The 14,931-nt window shown below is 45.3% G+C and overlaps 1 protein-coding gene across 4 annotated transcripts in view; it reads left to right on the plus strand.

The window, feature by feature from the left end:
* Positions 1-14,931, plus strand: part of FUBP3 (far upstream element binding protein 3) — a 58,776-nt gene that overhangs the window by 17,911 nt on the left and 25,934 nt on the right. For all 4 annotated transcript variants that reach the window (XR_007061369.1, NM_003934.2, XM_005272232.3 and 1 more), the window contains exon 3: positions 12,467-12,500. Coding sequence is in view for 3 of the 4 variants with exons in the window: in NM_003934.2 (NP_003925.1) it covers positions 12,467-12,500 (34 nt within the window). In the remaining variant the exon portion in view is untranslated. The remainder of the gene's footprint in view (positions 1-12,466; positions 12,501-14,931) is intronic.

Raw genomic sequence — 14,931 nt, forward strand, 5'->3', positions numbered from 1 at the left:
TGCCTCTGCTTTTCTAAACTTTTCATCACGCCATCAGCAAGACTGTGAGCCTAGAAGGTGGCCAGGTAAACATGAACATCACTTCCCTTCACAGGATCTGCTTATTCACATTCTTTGTCTCTTAAGAGAGTGGCCCAGTGACCTTACCCCTACCAGAAGACAACTGACAAAAAGGGGCTGTGGCAGTCCCCAGACGCTGAGATCAACACAGAACTCAAATTCTACACGTGGAGAACAGCTTGGAGAAAAAAACAATATGTGTAATCCTGTTATTTAAACAGTGCTCAACAGAAGACACGATTAATTTTATCGAGCTGTAATACAGAATGTAAGAAGCCTGAGGGAAATTCCTTGTTCTTCAAATACAGCCTGTTGTTACCTAAGACCGGGTGTTCAGGGAGGATGAGAGATTCAGCACGACACAGAAACTTTCCTTCTTGCTATAGGAGGGCTTCATATTTAGAGGGAAGAAAAAGATAAACCATGGTCATTTTCTGTTTGTGAAGACTTATTCCCCAAAAGGTAGACATGGAAAAAAATATGGTTATCAAAACAAGTAAGTGAAAATACGCAATATAAATGAACCCGAGGTTTTAAGTGAGATTCTGGACCTACTGGGTGATCTTTGGCCAAGTCAGCTAACATCTGCCTGTGACCCAGTTCTCTTTATCAATACTGATAATCTCTTTATTAGTGCTAATTTCTTTCAAATGTATGTGCAATGGACTAATGGGAGAAAAATGTCTGCAAAATGCTAGAGGGTTTCATTTGCAAATATTTAGGTATTCCTTATGCAGAGGACGCAGCAGATACCTGCTCACTGCAAGCACAAGTTTTAACCCTTCAGCGCCAGGCAGTGGGTGAAAAAAACAAGGCTGAATTGTGAAATTGTTGTGAAAGGCTGAATGAGTTGTGAAATATATTGATCTCAATTTCTGGAAACACTGGGCCAAAGAGACACTGTCCGTTAGTGAGGTGTGTGCACAGAGGCAGACAACTTAGTTTTGTTTTTACGTTGCTGTCTCAAGAGGAACCAAAGTATGATTGCCTCGAAAAGGTAAAGAGGTTACTTTGCATTACAGCTTTCTGCTAAGGCAAAAATGCAGTTAATGCAATCATCCCTATTTGGCCTAGGGAATCACTAACACCAGTCAAATATAAAAAGATCACAGCGTACTATTTTGGATAAGTAGTTTAAATGGTTATCTTAGTTCCAGTGGCCCTGGGGTGGATTTTCTGTTTTGTGGTCATAAACACTTTGTAAATACACACGAATTTTTACAATCAAGTGAGTGCCATCCCCTTAAAATCTTCAGTGTGAGTCTAAAGAATTTTCCCCCAAAGGCTCCCACATCTAAAAACAGTGGCCATCTCCTCTTAGAATTCCTAGAGATGCCCAGCATGGTGGCTCACACCTGTAATCCCAGCTACCCAGGAGGCTGAGGTGGTGGGAAAGCTTGAGCCCAGACATTCGAGGCCAGCCTGGGCAACATAGCAAAACCGTATTTCCGAAAAATAAATAAGGCCGGGCACTGTGGCTCACGCCTGTAATCCCAGCACTTTGGGAGGCCAAGGCAGGCAAATCACGAGGTCAGGAGATTGAGACCATCCTGGCTGACACGGTGAAACCCCGTCTCTACTAAAAATACAAAAAATTAGCTGGATGTCATGGCACGCGCCTGTAGTCCCAGCTGCTTGGGAGGCTGAGGCAGGAGAATCACTTGAACCTGGGAGACGGAGGTTGCAGTGAGCCAAGATCGCACCACTGCACTCCAGCCTGGGCAACAGAGTGAGACTCCATCTCAAAAAATACATATATACATATATAGATACACATATATACACACATATATACACATATATATAAGTATATGTGTGTGTGTGTGTGTGTGTGTGTATATATATATATATGTAAAGTTTTTTTTAATATGCTAGGCAGTGGAACAAGGGAAAGGATTTGTTCCTGATATAGAAAGGGATTTGGGTTAGTTGTGTTTCAGAGAGTGGCAGTTTTGAGCCACTTGTCAGAACGCTGTTCATGAGTCTGCTTAGAACCCAGAGCAGAATTTAGAGCTCAGTTTGAAAGCTTGCCTGAATGCCTGTCCGTGGGAAGAGCAGTCACCAGTCACTCCACCGCCCTCCAGCTTTGGATCAGGCCATTTTAACCTTCACTGTCTTCAATCTTGATACCCACATGTTCCAGCAGTCTTTGATATGCATCCTTGGCACCCCACCAGTTCAGGAATCTGCCTTCTGGTCTCAGTTGTGGCACCTTTTTCATCCAGTACTTCTCTCATGTTTCAACTGGAGCCTCTCCCTGCAGTCAGTCCAACCAGTTTCATTCCTCCAGTAACCAGGGAGGTGCAGATCTTGCAACCTGGCCATTGCCTGCCCTCCCGCTTGGCTCCTCCCGTGCACCTCCTGTGCTCCTCCTGTGTAGCAGCCTGGCTGCCTGTCTCCTCTCTCCCCTCACCCAGCTCTTAACCTGCCCAACTCCTGCTCAGCCAACTTCTTCCTAGAAACCTGTCCTCTTCCTTATCTTTTGACTTTCTTCGGGGCTCAGCCCACATGCCACCTAGCCTCTTGGTCTTCTCTCTACCTTTTCCTTCCTTCCTCCCTCCCTCCCTCCCTCCCTCCCTCTTTCCCCCTCTTTTCCCTTTTTCACACACCCACCTGACCAGTGAATATTAAGTCATATCCTTCTCTGAATTTCTAAAGCAGTGTATTTGCCCTCTGCTCAGGGCAGACCTTCCTTCCGCGGTTACTGGGTCCCGCTGTGCACCTCTCCTAGCAGAGCCTACGTGATGTGGCCATAAAGACTGGCTTCATTTCCCATGGACTCTTCATGCTCAAGTTCTCCCATGTTTTTCATGCTCAAGTTCTCCCGTGTTTCCTACGATTTGCATTTTTAAATTTTGGGAAAAGTAAGTTCCAAATTTAAGACAATAGTATTAGCTAAGTGATTTAGAAGTGCGAATTTAAATGTAATCTAAATTAGAGGTTGGCAAGCTTTTCTTTCTTTTTTTTAAAGACAGGGTCTCACTCTTGCTGAGGCTGGAGTGCAGTGGGGCAGTCATGGTTCACTGCAGCCTCTATCCCCCAGGCTCAGGTGATCCTCCCACCTCAGCCTCCTGGGTAGCTGGGACTGCACTGCACCTGGCAACAAGCTTTTTTATAAAGGACCTGATAGTAAGCATTTTAGGGGCCAGGCATGGTGGCTTATGCCTATAATCCCAGCACTTTGGGAGGCCGAGGTGGGAGGATTGCTTGCGTCCAGGAGTTTGAGACCAGCCTGGGCAATATAGCAAGACCCCATCTCTACAAAAAAATGAAAGAAGATTAGCTGGGTGTGGTGGTGCATGCCTGCAGCCCCAGCTACTCAGGAGGCTGAGGTGGGAGGATTGCCTGAGCCTGGGAGGTCAAGACCACAGTAAGCAGTGATCGCACCACTGCACTCCGCTTGGGTGACATAGTGATCTCAGAACAAACAAAAATAAATTTAAGCTTGCAGGCTATGTATCCCACCTACTAAGCTACGCTATTGGAGTTCAAAAACAGCTGTAGCATCTACATAAACAAAGAGCATGGCTGTGAGCCAATAAGATATTTCACCGAAACAGGCAGCTGGCCCTCAAGCTTAATTTGCCAGCCCTCAACTAAAATCAGCCTCATCAGTTGATGAAAACATTTTCTTCATCTTTAGTTAGGGAAGTATATAGAGAGTACCCCTCCCCCAGTTTCTTTAAACAAGTCTCCCGTCTCATGGTTCACTGTCCAACTGCCCTAACCACCTGAAACAAGTGCTTTCTCATGTTTGCCCAGAGCTGATGGACAGACAGAGAAGTCACTTCCCATTTGTCCCTCTGTATCTCTCCTGATCAAAGATCAAAGCCTTTCCAGTTTTCTTCCTCAGGAGCATTTTTAGGAGCTTTTTTAGTTGAACTAAGCAGGCCTCATACTCCCCCTGCATTCTGTGTAGTGGGTGGCACCAAAACCAGGACTTCAGGAGAGTACAGCACTGTCCTCACCACTGGGGTGGCGGGGGTAAGGCCATGCAAGGGGCTTTGAAACTATGCCTGCCTCTTCACTCAAAGACTCGTCTTTGCTATTTATGTAGCACCTTTTTTTTTGTCCTTTTTATTCTTTTTACTTCATGACCTGCTGAAGAACAGCACCTTTTATAGTACCACACTTTCTACTTTTGATAATACAGTTGTTCCCCATTTATTCATGACTTCGTTTTCCACGGTTTCAGTTACCCACGGTCAACCACTGCCGAAATTATTAAATGGAAATTTTAGAAATAATTCCTAATTTTTTTTTTTTTTTTTTGAGATGGAGTCTTGCTCTGTCACCCAGGCTGGAGTGTAGTGGTGCGATCTTGGCTCACTGCAACCTCTGCCTCCCAGGTTCAAGTGATTCTCCTGCCTCAGCCTCCCAATTAGCTGGGATTACAGGCGTGCGCCACCACAACTAGCTAATTTTTGTATTTTTAGTAGAGATGGGGTTTCACCATGTTGGCCAGGCTGGTCTTGAACTCCTGACCTCGTGATCCACCTGCCTCGGCCTCCCAGAGGGCTGGGATTACAGGCGTGAGCCACCGCACCCAGCCAATTCCTAATTTTTAAATTGTACACCATTCTGAGTAGCATGTGTATCCACACTGTATACACTACCCACTCACCAATGTATAGGAAAAAATGTAGCGTATACAGGGTTCGGTACTCTCCATGGCTTCAGCCACCTACCAGGGGTCTTGGAACATATCCCTCATGGATGAGGGGGAACTGCTGTATTCTTACGGGGTAAAGGACGAATTCTTGGGCGTTCTGTCAAATGAATTATTTGCAGGAAGAGTGAAATAGACTATTTCTGTGATCCTTTCCAAGCTTTGTTTCAGTACTTGTGGCATAGGGCAAGGACAGAAAAGGAAGACAGGAGGGAGGAAAAGACGTTTGAAAATCCCAGACCTCAAGGAGAGACAGGAGATAGGAGGTACAAGTGCTAGCGGTGGTGAGAGCCATGATGCCCGGACCCCTGCCTGTGACCTGCACCCCAGGCAGGTGCTGAGGCCACCAGTCTCCACTCTGGAAAGAGGGAAGTGAATCTCAGAAGTGTTGATACTTTCCCTGAATGGGGGATGATGACAGATATTGGAGGGATGAAAAGCCAAGACCAAAACCTAGTTCCTGAGAGTAGGAGGGGTTAGGAGGAAGGTTTGCCTTTTGTGAAGAGGGAAGAGGTAAAGTGAGGCTGGGATGTGGTTGGGCAGTCATCATCAAGGGCAGATGAAGGCTTTCCAGGGGCGGTGGACATGGGCAGGCTTCCCAGGTTCCTTTTTCAGCTCCTTACCTCCTGTCTGCCCTCTTCCCTAAAATGGGCCTTTCTGAGAGTCACGTCTGCCCCTGAAGGTTATGCCCTTCCTGCCACGCCCCTTCTCCCGTTCCCCACTTTTGGTGTACAGTGGGCGGTCACCTGGGGTGGAAAAATCCCCAAGCAGTGGGGCCAGGCAAGAATTCTGAATGGAGAATCCCAAGGTAACAAAGGGTAGAGCCTTGGTAAGAAACAGTGAAGGGAGGCTGGGCATGGTAGCTCACGCCTGTAATCCCAGCACTTTGGGAGGCTGAAGCGGGAGGATCACCTGAGGTCAAGAGTTCAAGACCAGCCTGGCCAACATGGTAAAACCCAGTCTCTACTAAAAATACAAAAATTAGCTGGATGTGGTGGCGTGCACCTGTAGTCCCAGCTCTTCGGGAGGCTGAGGTGGGAGAATGGCCTGAACCCGGGAGGCAGAGGTTGCAGTGAGCTGAAACCGTGTCACTGCACTCCAGCCTGGGCGACAGAGCAAGACTCTGTCTCCAAAAAAAAAAAAAAAAAAAAACAAATAGTGAAGGGGACAGGGTCTGATTTTATCCAGTTGACAACTCCTGGCACAGGCTCTGTGCCCTACCCCCCTACCTCAGCCACCTGCATTTGTTTCTTCCTCCCTCCCTTCACCCATCTATGCATTTTAGGATTATAATTCAGAAGTGAGATGATACTCACATGGGTACATACATATGTGTAAGTTGGAAAAAGGCAGTGAGATTTTTCCCCTTGGCAAAGCATCATGTGACTGGTTGGTGGACAGTTGGCTTAGCCAGCTAGGTAAAATAGTATTCATTTTCCACAAAAATGAATGAGCTAAACCTGCAGCATCAATGTTGTGACAAAAATATAACTCGAGCTCATGTACAATGCCTGTTACATTCTTCGCAGCTGTTAATAGGGAAGAAAAGTAGTTGCCAAATTAAAAGAGGATTCATAGGTTTCCAGAGTTCAACTTGATGGTAGAACCTCTCTCGAATACAGTTTGGGAGTGTCACAAAACTAAACATGCACTTACGCACAGTCCACAACTGCACTGTTGGGCATTTATCCCCAAGAAAGGAAAATGTTCACACAAGAGCCTGTTCACATAGCAGCTTTATTCATAATAGTCCCAAACTGAAAACAGCCCACGTGTCCTTCAACTGATGAATGGTTCTGCTTGCGATACAGCCATACCGTGGAATATCACTCAGCGGTAAAACGGAACAAATGCTGAGTACATCCAGCAACTTGGATCAATCTCCAGGGAATTATGCCGAGTGCCAGAAACCAATCCCAAAAAACTACATACTGCATGATCCCCTTTATGTAACCTTTTGGGAACGGAGAACAGATTAGTGGTTGCCAGTGGTTAGGGATTGAGTCGGAGGAGAGGGGGTCACCTAAGATCACAGCTAGAAGGGAACCTGAAGCTTAAACTCCTTATTGTTGTAGATAAGGAAACCAGTGTCTCTGAAGAAGTAAGTGGTTTGACCAAGGCCAGATAGATACATGATAAGTGACAGAAGGGAGGTTGAACCTGGGTCTCTGTCTCATGTGCCATAATAGTATAGTACTTAAACATGTGGACTTCAGAGTCTGACAGATCAAGGTTTGAATCCCAGCTTTGCTAGTCATTAGCTGTTTGACCTTGGGCAAGTTCCTTAACGTCTCTGAGCCTGTGTTTCCTCATCTGTACAATGGACCTGATGATACCTGCCTCATCAGATTATCATGAGGGTTATATCATGTTATTTTCAAGCTTTAAGAAATACTACTCCCGGGCCTGGCATGGTTGCTCATGCTTGTAATCCCCTTTGGGAGGCCAAGGCAGACAGATCAACGAGGTCAGGAGATTGAAACCATCCTGGCCAACAAGGTGAAACCCCGCCTCTATTAAAATACAAAAAAATTAGCTGGGCATGGTGGTGCGCGCCTTTAGTCCCAGCTACTCGGGAGGCTGAGGCAGGGGAATCACTTGAACCCAGGAGGTGGAGATTGCAGTGAGCCGAGATCGTGCCACTGCACTCCAGCCTGGCGACAGAGCAAGACTCTGTCTCAAACAAAAAAAAAAAAAAAGAAAGAAATACCACTCCCAATGTGAGAAAAACTGTTTCCATCAGAACTAGTTAGTACAGACATATTAAAACACATATGTGACTGAAATGAAAGTTTTATGAAATACATTACCCTTATTATATATGGTACATTCTGTTTTCTATTTCATTTTTATTAATAAAGCTGGTTGTGACCCCCTATATTGATTTCATGACACTGGCGTAAATGAAAGTAAAGCTTAGGGCTATGAATATACTATCATAGAATTCTTTTTCCTCTTAGGCTCTTGAGGAGAAGGTGCAGGGCCCAACACGTCCCTGGAGGCTAGGGTAGGCCCCCTCATCTGTTGCCTTCTGCCTTCCCTGCTAGACTGTAAGCTCCCTGAGGGCAAAGGTGGCTTTGTTGACTGTTGTATCCTCAGGTCCTGTCACAGTGCTCAGCACCTGGAAGGCGCTGACTTGTGAGATGAAGAATGATCAAGAGAGTTAATAGCACAAAATTAAACAGTGATAAGTGTTGAAACCCACAAAATTAAAGGACAGGGGAAGATGAAGGGGTACAGAGTTTGCATGGGCACAGGCCCCTCGCCTGCATGCCACTCTGAGGGCTTGGGTGCAGTGTGATCGCACCTTCCTCTTCAGTAAGATGGGAATGGCAGTGACAGTAGCTGCCTCAAAGGTGGGTTCTTGTAGGACCAAGTGGGTTCACGCAGGTGAGGTGCCCAGGAAAGCACCTAGTGTGGCTGGGGGTGGTGGTCTTTCCACTCACAGAAGCTTACAGTAGACTACAAGTAAGAGTGATGTGATTGGCTGGGCACGGTGGCTCACACCTGTAATCCCAGCACTTTGGGAGGCCAAGGCAGGCGGATCACCTGATGTCAGGAGTTTGAGACCAGCTTGGCCAACATGGTAAAACCCCATCTCTACTAAAAGTACAAAAATTAGCCAGGCATGGCGGCACACACCTGTAATCCTGGCTACTTGGTAGGCTGAAGCAGGAGAATCGCACGAACCCGGGAGGCGGAGGTTGCAGTGAGCCGAGATCGCGCCGCTGCACTCCAGCCTGGGAGACAGAGCGAGACTCTGTCTCAAACAACAACAACAACAAAAAAGAGTGACATTATTGAGATAAACTTGAATTTACTTTCACTTTTTAAAAAATAATTTGCAAAATTAATAAATTATGCTTGCCAAAGGACTTTCAGCTGAACTCAGCATGTCAGTGTTTTGTGGCCCTGGAGCAAGAGTTGCTGCCTAGAACACAGGAAGCCTTTGTAGTGTCCCTGGGGGAAAAGCTTTCTAAAAACGCCCTGAATCCTCACCGCTAAGTGTGTGTTACTGACCTGAGCTGGGGTGTGGAAAGCCATTGGTCAGTCAGAGGAGACTGCAAATCCAAAGAAGAGGCAGAGGAGGGGGGATTGTTTTCAAAATCTAAAAAGGAAGATTTGGGTTATTTGTTTTTACAGTTATAAAAACTGGTATTCCTCTCTCCCCACCCCCCCCCAACAGACTCACTCACCTGCCTCTGGCCAGTGGTTCCGTGTGGGTGCCAGCCCGTGCTGGCTGTGCTGTCGTGAAGGAGGAATTGGCATTTTTGTTCCTTGTGCTGGGGTGGGAGTGGGGGTATAACTATTAAAGCTGATGTGGCCGGGCGCGGTGGCTCACGCCTGTAATCCCAGCACTTTGGGAGGCTAAAGTGGGCGGATCACCTGAGGTCGGGAGTTCGAGACCAGCCTGACCAACATGGAGAAACCCCGTCTCTACTAAAAATACAAAATTAGCCGGGCGTAGTGGCGCATGCCTGTAATCCCAGCTACTCGGGAAGCTGAGGTAGGAGAATCGCTTGAACCCAGGAGGCAGAGGTTGTGGTAAGCCGAGATCACGCCTTTGCACTCCAGCCTGGGCAAGAAGAGCGAGACTCTGTCTCAGGAAAAAAAAAAAGCTGATGTGTATTGCAAAGTTGCATGTATTTCCCAGTGCAGTTTTGTTTCTTTTGGAGGAGAAAAAAAAAATGAAATCTTTTTTTCTTCACTAATAGGGAAAAATGTGTCTGATCACCTTTTTTTGTGTTATTGTTTGTTTGATTGATTGATTTTTAAGATTGTTCTGCTCTGTCACCCAGGCTGGAGTGCAATGACACGATCCCAGCTCCCTGCAACTTCCACCTCCCCGGTTCATTGTGCATCAGCCTCCCGAGTAGCTGGGATTACAGATGTGCACCACCACACCCAGCTAATTTGTGTATTTTTTTTTTTTTTACTAGAGACAGGGTTTTGCCATGTTGGCCAGGCAGGTCTCGAACTCCTGGCCTCAAGTTATCTGCCTGCCTTGGCCTCCCAAAGTGCTGGGATTACAGGCATGAGTGACAGCACCTGACCTGACCTCCTTTTTTTTTTTTTTTAAGATTATTATTAAAATTGGCAGAGTATTACTCTTCAGAAAGAATTTATGATATCGTAGGATGACTCACAGCCCAGGCAGTTCGTATTATATAGTGCACAAGGGAAACGAGAACTACACCTGTATATGCTGGAATTGCTCCAACGGGACCTTTAGAAGCAAGAAGATGCATTGTCAACCAGCACACACCATTAGTGGAAACAGGACTGATTTTACCCAGCATTTTTCCTTTTTTACAGGAAAATGAGTGTAGTTCCATTCAATTGAATATGATAGGTGTTCCCATCTGCCTCCTTAGTGTGACCCCTCCTCATTGCGAAGACTGAGGAGAGGTTCCTGTTCCTGGAGTTGGACATAGAAGTTGGCCATATGAGTACCCAGCGCCCCTGATCTAACTGCTGGTTTTCATTTTTAGGCAGCAAATGGGAATGTTCCGAAGGGAATGAAACTGCAATCACATGTTTCAGCCTTGGGTGGACTCCAGCATTTGCATGGAGGAGGGAGATGATTTATCCTTCCTAAGCATCTGCCAGCTCAGAGTTGACTCTGGACTTGAACCTGATTTCCTCTCAGTGATGCGGCTCTCAGCAGCCCATCTATCTGTGGGATGATAGTGTGAACATTTTCATCTCTGGTCATTATGAGTGCCTCCACCGTGGCTGGCAGGAATGGTGTCATGTGCGTGGCACCTGTAACACATACTTTGCCAACAAAAAGGAATTGCCATTTTTGTGATGAGCACAAAATTTCAAATGGCTTTTGAACAGGAGCCCTCTGAATATTCTTGTGAATCTCAGGAAGTTCTTTATGGTAGCACTGCCCTTTGTTTCTGTGGCTTTTCTGGCTGAGACAGAAATTTCTGAAGATCATCGGCCCTTTGACATCCTTTACCAAACAACGCAGTGGACCAGAACCCACGGTGCGGCCTCATTCCCCCAGCTGAGGAATGCTGAGCACCTCTCCTCTGTGTTCTCATCATTTCAAGACATTTTAGTTCTTCTGGCTTCAGTAGATTCTTTACCCACTAAGAGGGGAATTCTGATAGCAATCAGGGAAGCTGAGCTTGACCCATAAATAGGAACAGCTAACCAAGCTCACAGGTACTCTGTCGTTGACATTCTCCTTTGGTGTGTTTCTTTTCCTCCCCACTGCCCTATGTGGCCAACATACCTCCCTCAGGAATGTCTCAGCCCCAACATTATTCAGGGGCTGAGTCTGTGGTGAGGATTTCTTTCCTGACCTGGTGATTGTCCAGTTTTCATGCAGAATGGGAGTTGTGAACACTACCTGTTCCAAGCAAGAATGTTTGTTATATTCAAACAGATAGGCAAAGAGAAAATTTTAAGAGTCAGTAAAAAACAATTCTCTTATCCCTGAGATAAGCAGATTAATAGTGTCTAGTGTCAATATTTTGGCTGTAGACCATTATCTTGTTATTGATCCAGAAGAAATATGGTATTGACTTAGTAGCTTCGTTTGCTTTTTGCTAGCATTGTTTTGCTTTGCTTTTTCTTCTTTTTAAATGTCACGGTCTGCTTTTTTTCCTTTGTCTCTTTACTGTCCAGTCGGAGAATGACAGCAGTGAGTTTGAGCACAAGCAGAGCAGTTGGCTCCCTGTTCTGATTCAGATGGAGTTCAATTGTCAAACCATTTCATTCTCTGTCCTCAAGTGGGTGTAATCGATCCTTTGCGACTTAGCTCATGTCCTTAGAATAACTTTCCCCAAAGACGTATTTCTGAATGCCCTTTTTAGCATGTTGTAAGGTGCATTTGGTTCTTTGTGATATGTTTAGGATTTGTATTTTTTCATTGTCTGCTGACTGTGTTTCCTGAGCTGCATTTTCCAAAAGAGAAACACTACAGAATCATTTTTGCTGATGGCTGGTGAAGGAGAGACACTCATCAATAGCTGAAAGAGGAGAAACTGGAACAAAAAGTGTAGCTAAAGTGGTTTTGTGGGAATGTGATTACAGAGTTGGTTTTAATAATAAGAGGCTGTTTGGCACCGTTGTCTTTGTGAAATGGGCTTGAAAGGCAGTTGCTCATTCTTAGTGTCCGCTGCACATGGACTGCTCTGGTGGGTCCGTGACGAGGCCTGTGGAGGTAGGAGGCTGGATCCTCTCCTTCAGATGCTTATGGTCTTGGGGGTGGGGGGGCCGGCGAGGGGGGCACCAGGGGGCGTCTCCTCCCCCGTGGCCAGGAGGAGCATATGTGCGTGTTCCTCATGACTACAGCTGCTGTGGAGCAGTCCTTAACAATGCATCCAAGGAGGGTAAATCTTCTCATTTGTTTTTAAAAGAGAAAGAAGGATCTCTTTCCATCTTTACATTGAGTTTGGATCCAGAGCAGGAGGGAGGTAGGAAGTTAGAGGGATTTAGGCTAGCAGGATTTTCTCCCAGGCCTCACAGCATGTGGACACACAGATCAATTTCTTATCCTGTGTTCAGCTGGACACTGGGTTACAGACTGTGTTGATCAAGATGTCCCCTCCTGTTTCATATCATATAACGCATTCATTTCAGCCACTGAGCCTAAATTACTGTTTGCTTTCTTTCTGCCTTTCTTTTCCACCCCACCCGAAATGGTAAGAATGGTAAGGATGAAGTTAGTTTATCCGTGCTAATGCTTTGATTTTTTTTTTCTCTTTCTCTTTGCCACAGTAGGTAACCAGTTAGGGGCCTTGGTACATCAAAGGTAAGCAGTGGGTTACGTTTTATTATTTATTGATCATTTCTAATTGTTTATTGATCCACCATCTGTACTAGAGTGCTAGAAAGTCAGAGGTTGAGAATGTGAAAAAGCATGGGTTAGGCTTCTTTAAGACTCGAGTTTTTTGCTAGCCATTTCTAAGATAGTGTCAGCTCAGGGATAAACTAATACAAGGCATTAAAAATCAGCCATTATTGCAGTAACTTAAAATACTTGTAGAAGATTGGAGTTGCTCTTTCTACCAATGTACATTTAATTTAAAAGGAGAGAATGAGATTTTCCCACCTGGTTTTGTGGTGTTGCCAGTATTTTATTAATCCTTAACCCCTTCACCTGAGAAGAGACACCTCGAAGTGTGAGGGTCAGACACTCACAAGAGAATGCTTTGGGTGCCCAGGGAGTATGGGTGGGTGGCTAGTGCGTGGTGAGGAGGCCAGAAGCCAGGGTTCCATCCTTCCGAAGTGGTAGGGACTTGCCAGAGAGCCTCAGCCCAGCTAATTCTCTGTTTCTGTGTCCCCTCATAGCCTTCTGTCAAACGTAGAAGATTTAGAGAGATACAGAAAGAGCCCTGAGTTTTACAAAGGCCAATCTGTAAGATGGGGTATGTGTGGTCATAGTGTATCGCCCTTCAAACAGGGAAAAATATACAAGAAACTGCCACAGTTTCTCTTCTGGAAGGATGAATTTTGTGCTATGTATCTGTTGCTGTAACATATCCTTAACCTTCTATCAGCAAAACAATTCTGTCATCTTGTATTCTGCCTAGGTGTTTGGGAGTTTCTAGAAATCACCGGTCATCAGTTAAACAAAAGTTTTATCCTGGGGTTTTTTTGGTGGTTGTTGTTATTGTTGTTTCTTTGTTTGCTTTGTTTTGTTTGTTGATGAACTGAAAAATTTAAATGAGGTGATCGTTAGTATCAAATGCTGACTTTCCTATAAAGCCATAACTAGTCAGGATTTTCTTTTCCAAGGTGTTTATATTTTGTACCTTGGACAAGTTTCAGCCTTGCATTTAGATTAGAACGTTTTCTTCCTGGAAACCCAGAGCAGTTCGTCTTGGAATGTTTCTTCCTCACAGTTGGCTAAAGTGTTCCTTAGGGCCAAGGGCTGCCTGGGCTTCGTGACATTTTGTATTGCAGTAGTGTTGAAGCCCCTCTAGTCAATTCCCAGGTAATATTTTCTGAGAGTAGACAGAATAGACAGCTCATGCTACACATGGTGTGAGCAGCAGCCTCCTGGCCACACGCACAAGAGCCCTGTCATCCCTCATAACAAGGTCAGGAAGCACATCCTGACAGGGACCTGGCTTCTGCTGCAGGACGTGTTGGGACAGCAGGGCTTGGCATTCACATCCATGGTGTTACTGATTAGGAAGCTGGGAATGAATTGCCTGATTTGGGGAGAACACATACATCGCAAGAGGTGGAGAGAATCCCGTCTTGTTCATAAGCTTGAGGGTGTAAACTCCCTCAAGGAGGGAGGGAGAAGACTGTTTGTTCCCATCAAAATGATACAGTGGCAAGTGCTATTTATGCTATTGCATTTCTTTTAAGTGATGCACTTTCCCTAAAAATATGCACTTATTCAATCCTTTCTGTGATGGGTAAAAACCCAGCTGTGTGAGAGATGTTTAAAAATGCTTGCCTTTTTTTTTTTTTTAAACTACTTGCATTTAGCATCCTCCCAAGGTAAATGTTGAGATTTAATTGCTTTCTGGGGTGTTGGGCAAATTGGACATTGTCCACAATACACTTTATGGCAGATTTGAAGGTTTGTTGAAAAAAGCCAGTGCAGTAGTAGTTTAAAAAAAAAAAAGGCACATAATGGATGGGATAGCATTTAACAGAAGTACCTTGCAGAGTAAGTGAGGTAATTATTCTGTTCTGGTCAACAGTGATTACGCCTCCATCGGATACTGGTTCCATTTGGGGCGTCTCACCGTTAAAAACATCCATAAATTAGAAGGGAGGCCAGAAAACAATAAAAAGATTGGGAAACAAGGGATGTTGAAGAAAAGATGGATATCTCTTCATCTAGAGAGGACTCCACAATAGAAGTCTAAACATCTCCCAAAACCCTGGAGGACCTTTCAGTGACCTGGGATTGATGGCCCATTGGTTAGAGAGCACCTAACCAGGCAGAATGAGGCAACACTGAGAGGTGCTGTATGAAGAAAAGGCAGCTGTTAGAGGAGGTGATGGTTTCATGAAAACCCTGAGGTTTCTTCCTCTGACAAAAGGAGATGAAAGGCTTAGATCTTTGGAAGGAGTGATTGACCAGACGGTTCATTACGTGACACTCTTTGTAGGTGGTGGTGGATTTGTTGGCCAAATTGGCCTGATGTATTTTAAGCTTTTATCATGCAACATTGCCAGTATGGGCAGTTTGGGGACCTAAAATGGCTGCAAAAGTCTGT

This window comes from Homo sapiens, chromosome 9 (assembly GCF_000001405.40).
Source record: "Homo sapiens chromosome 9, GRCh38.p14 Primary Assembly".
Classification (NCBI taxonomy): domain Eukaryota; kingdom Metazoa; phylum Chordata; class Mammalia; order Primates; family Hominidae; genus Homo; species Homo sapiens.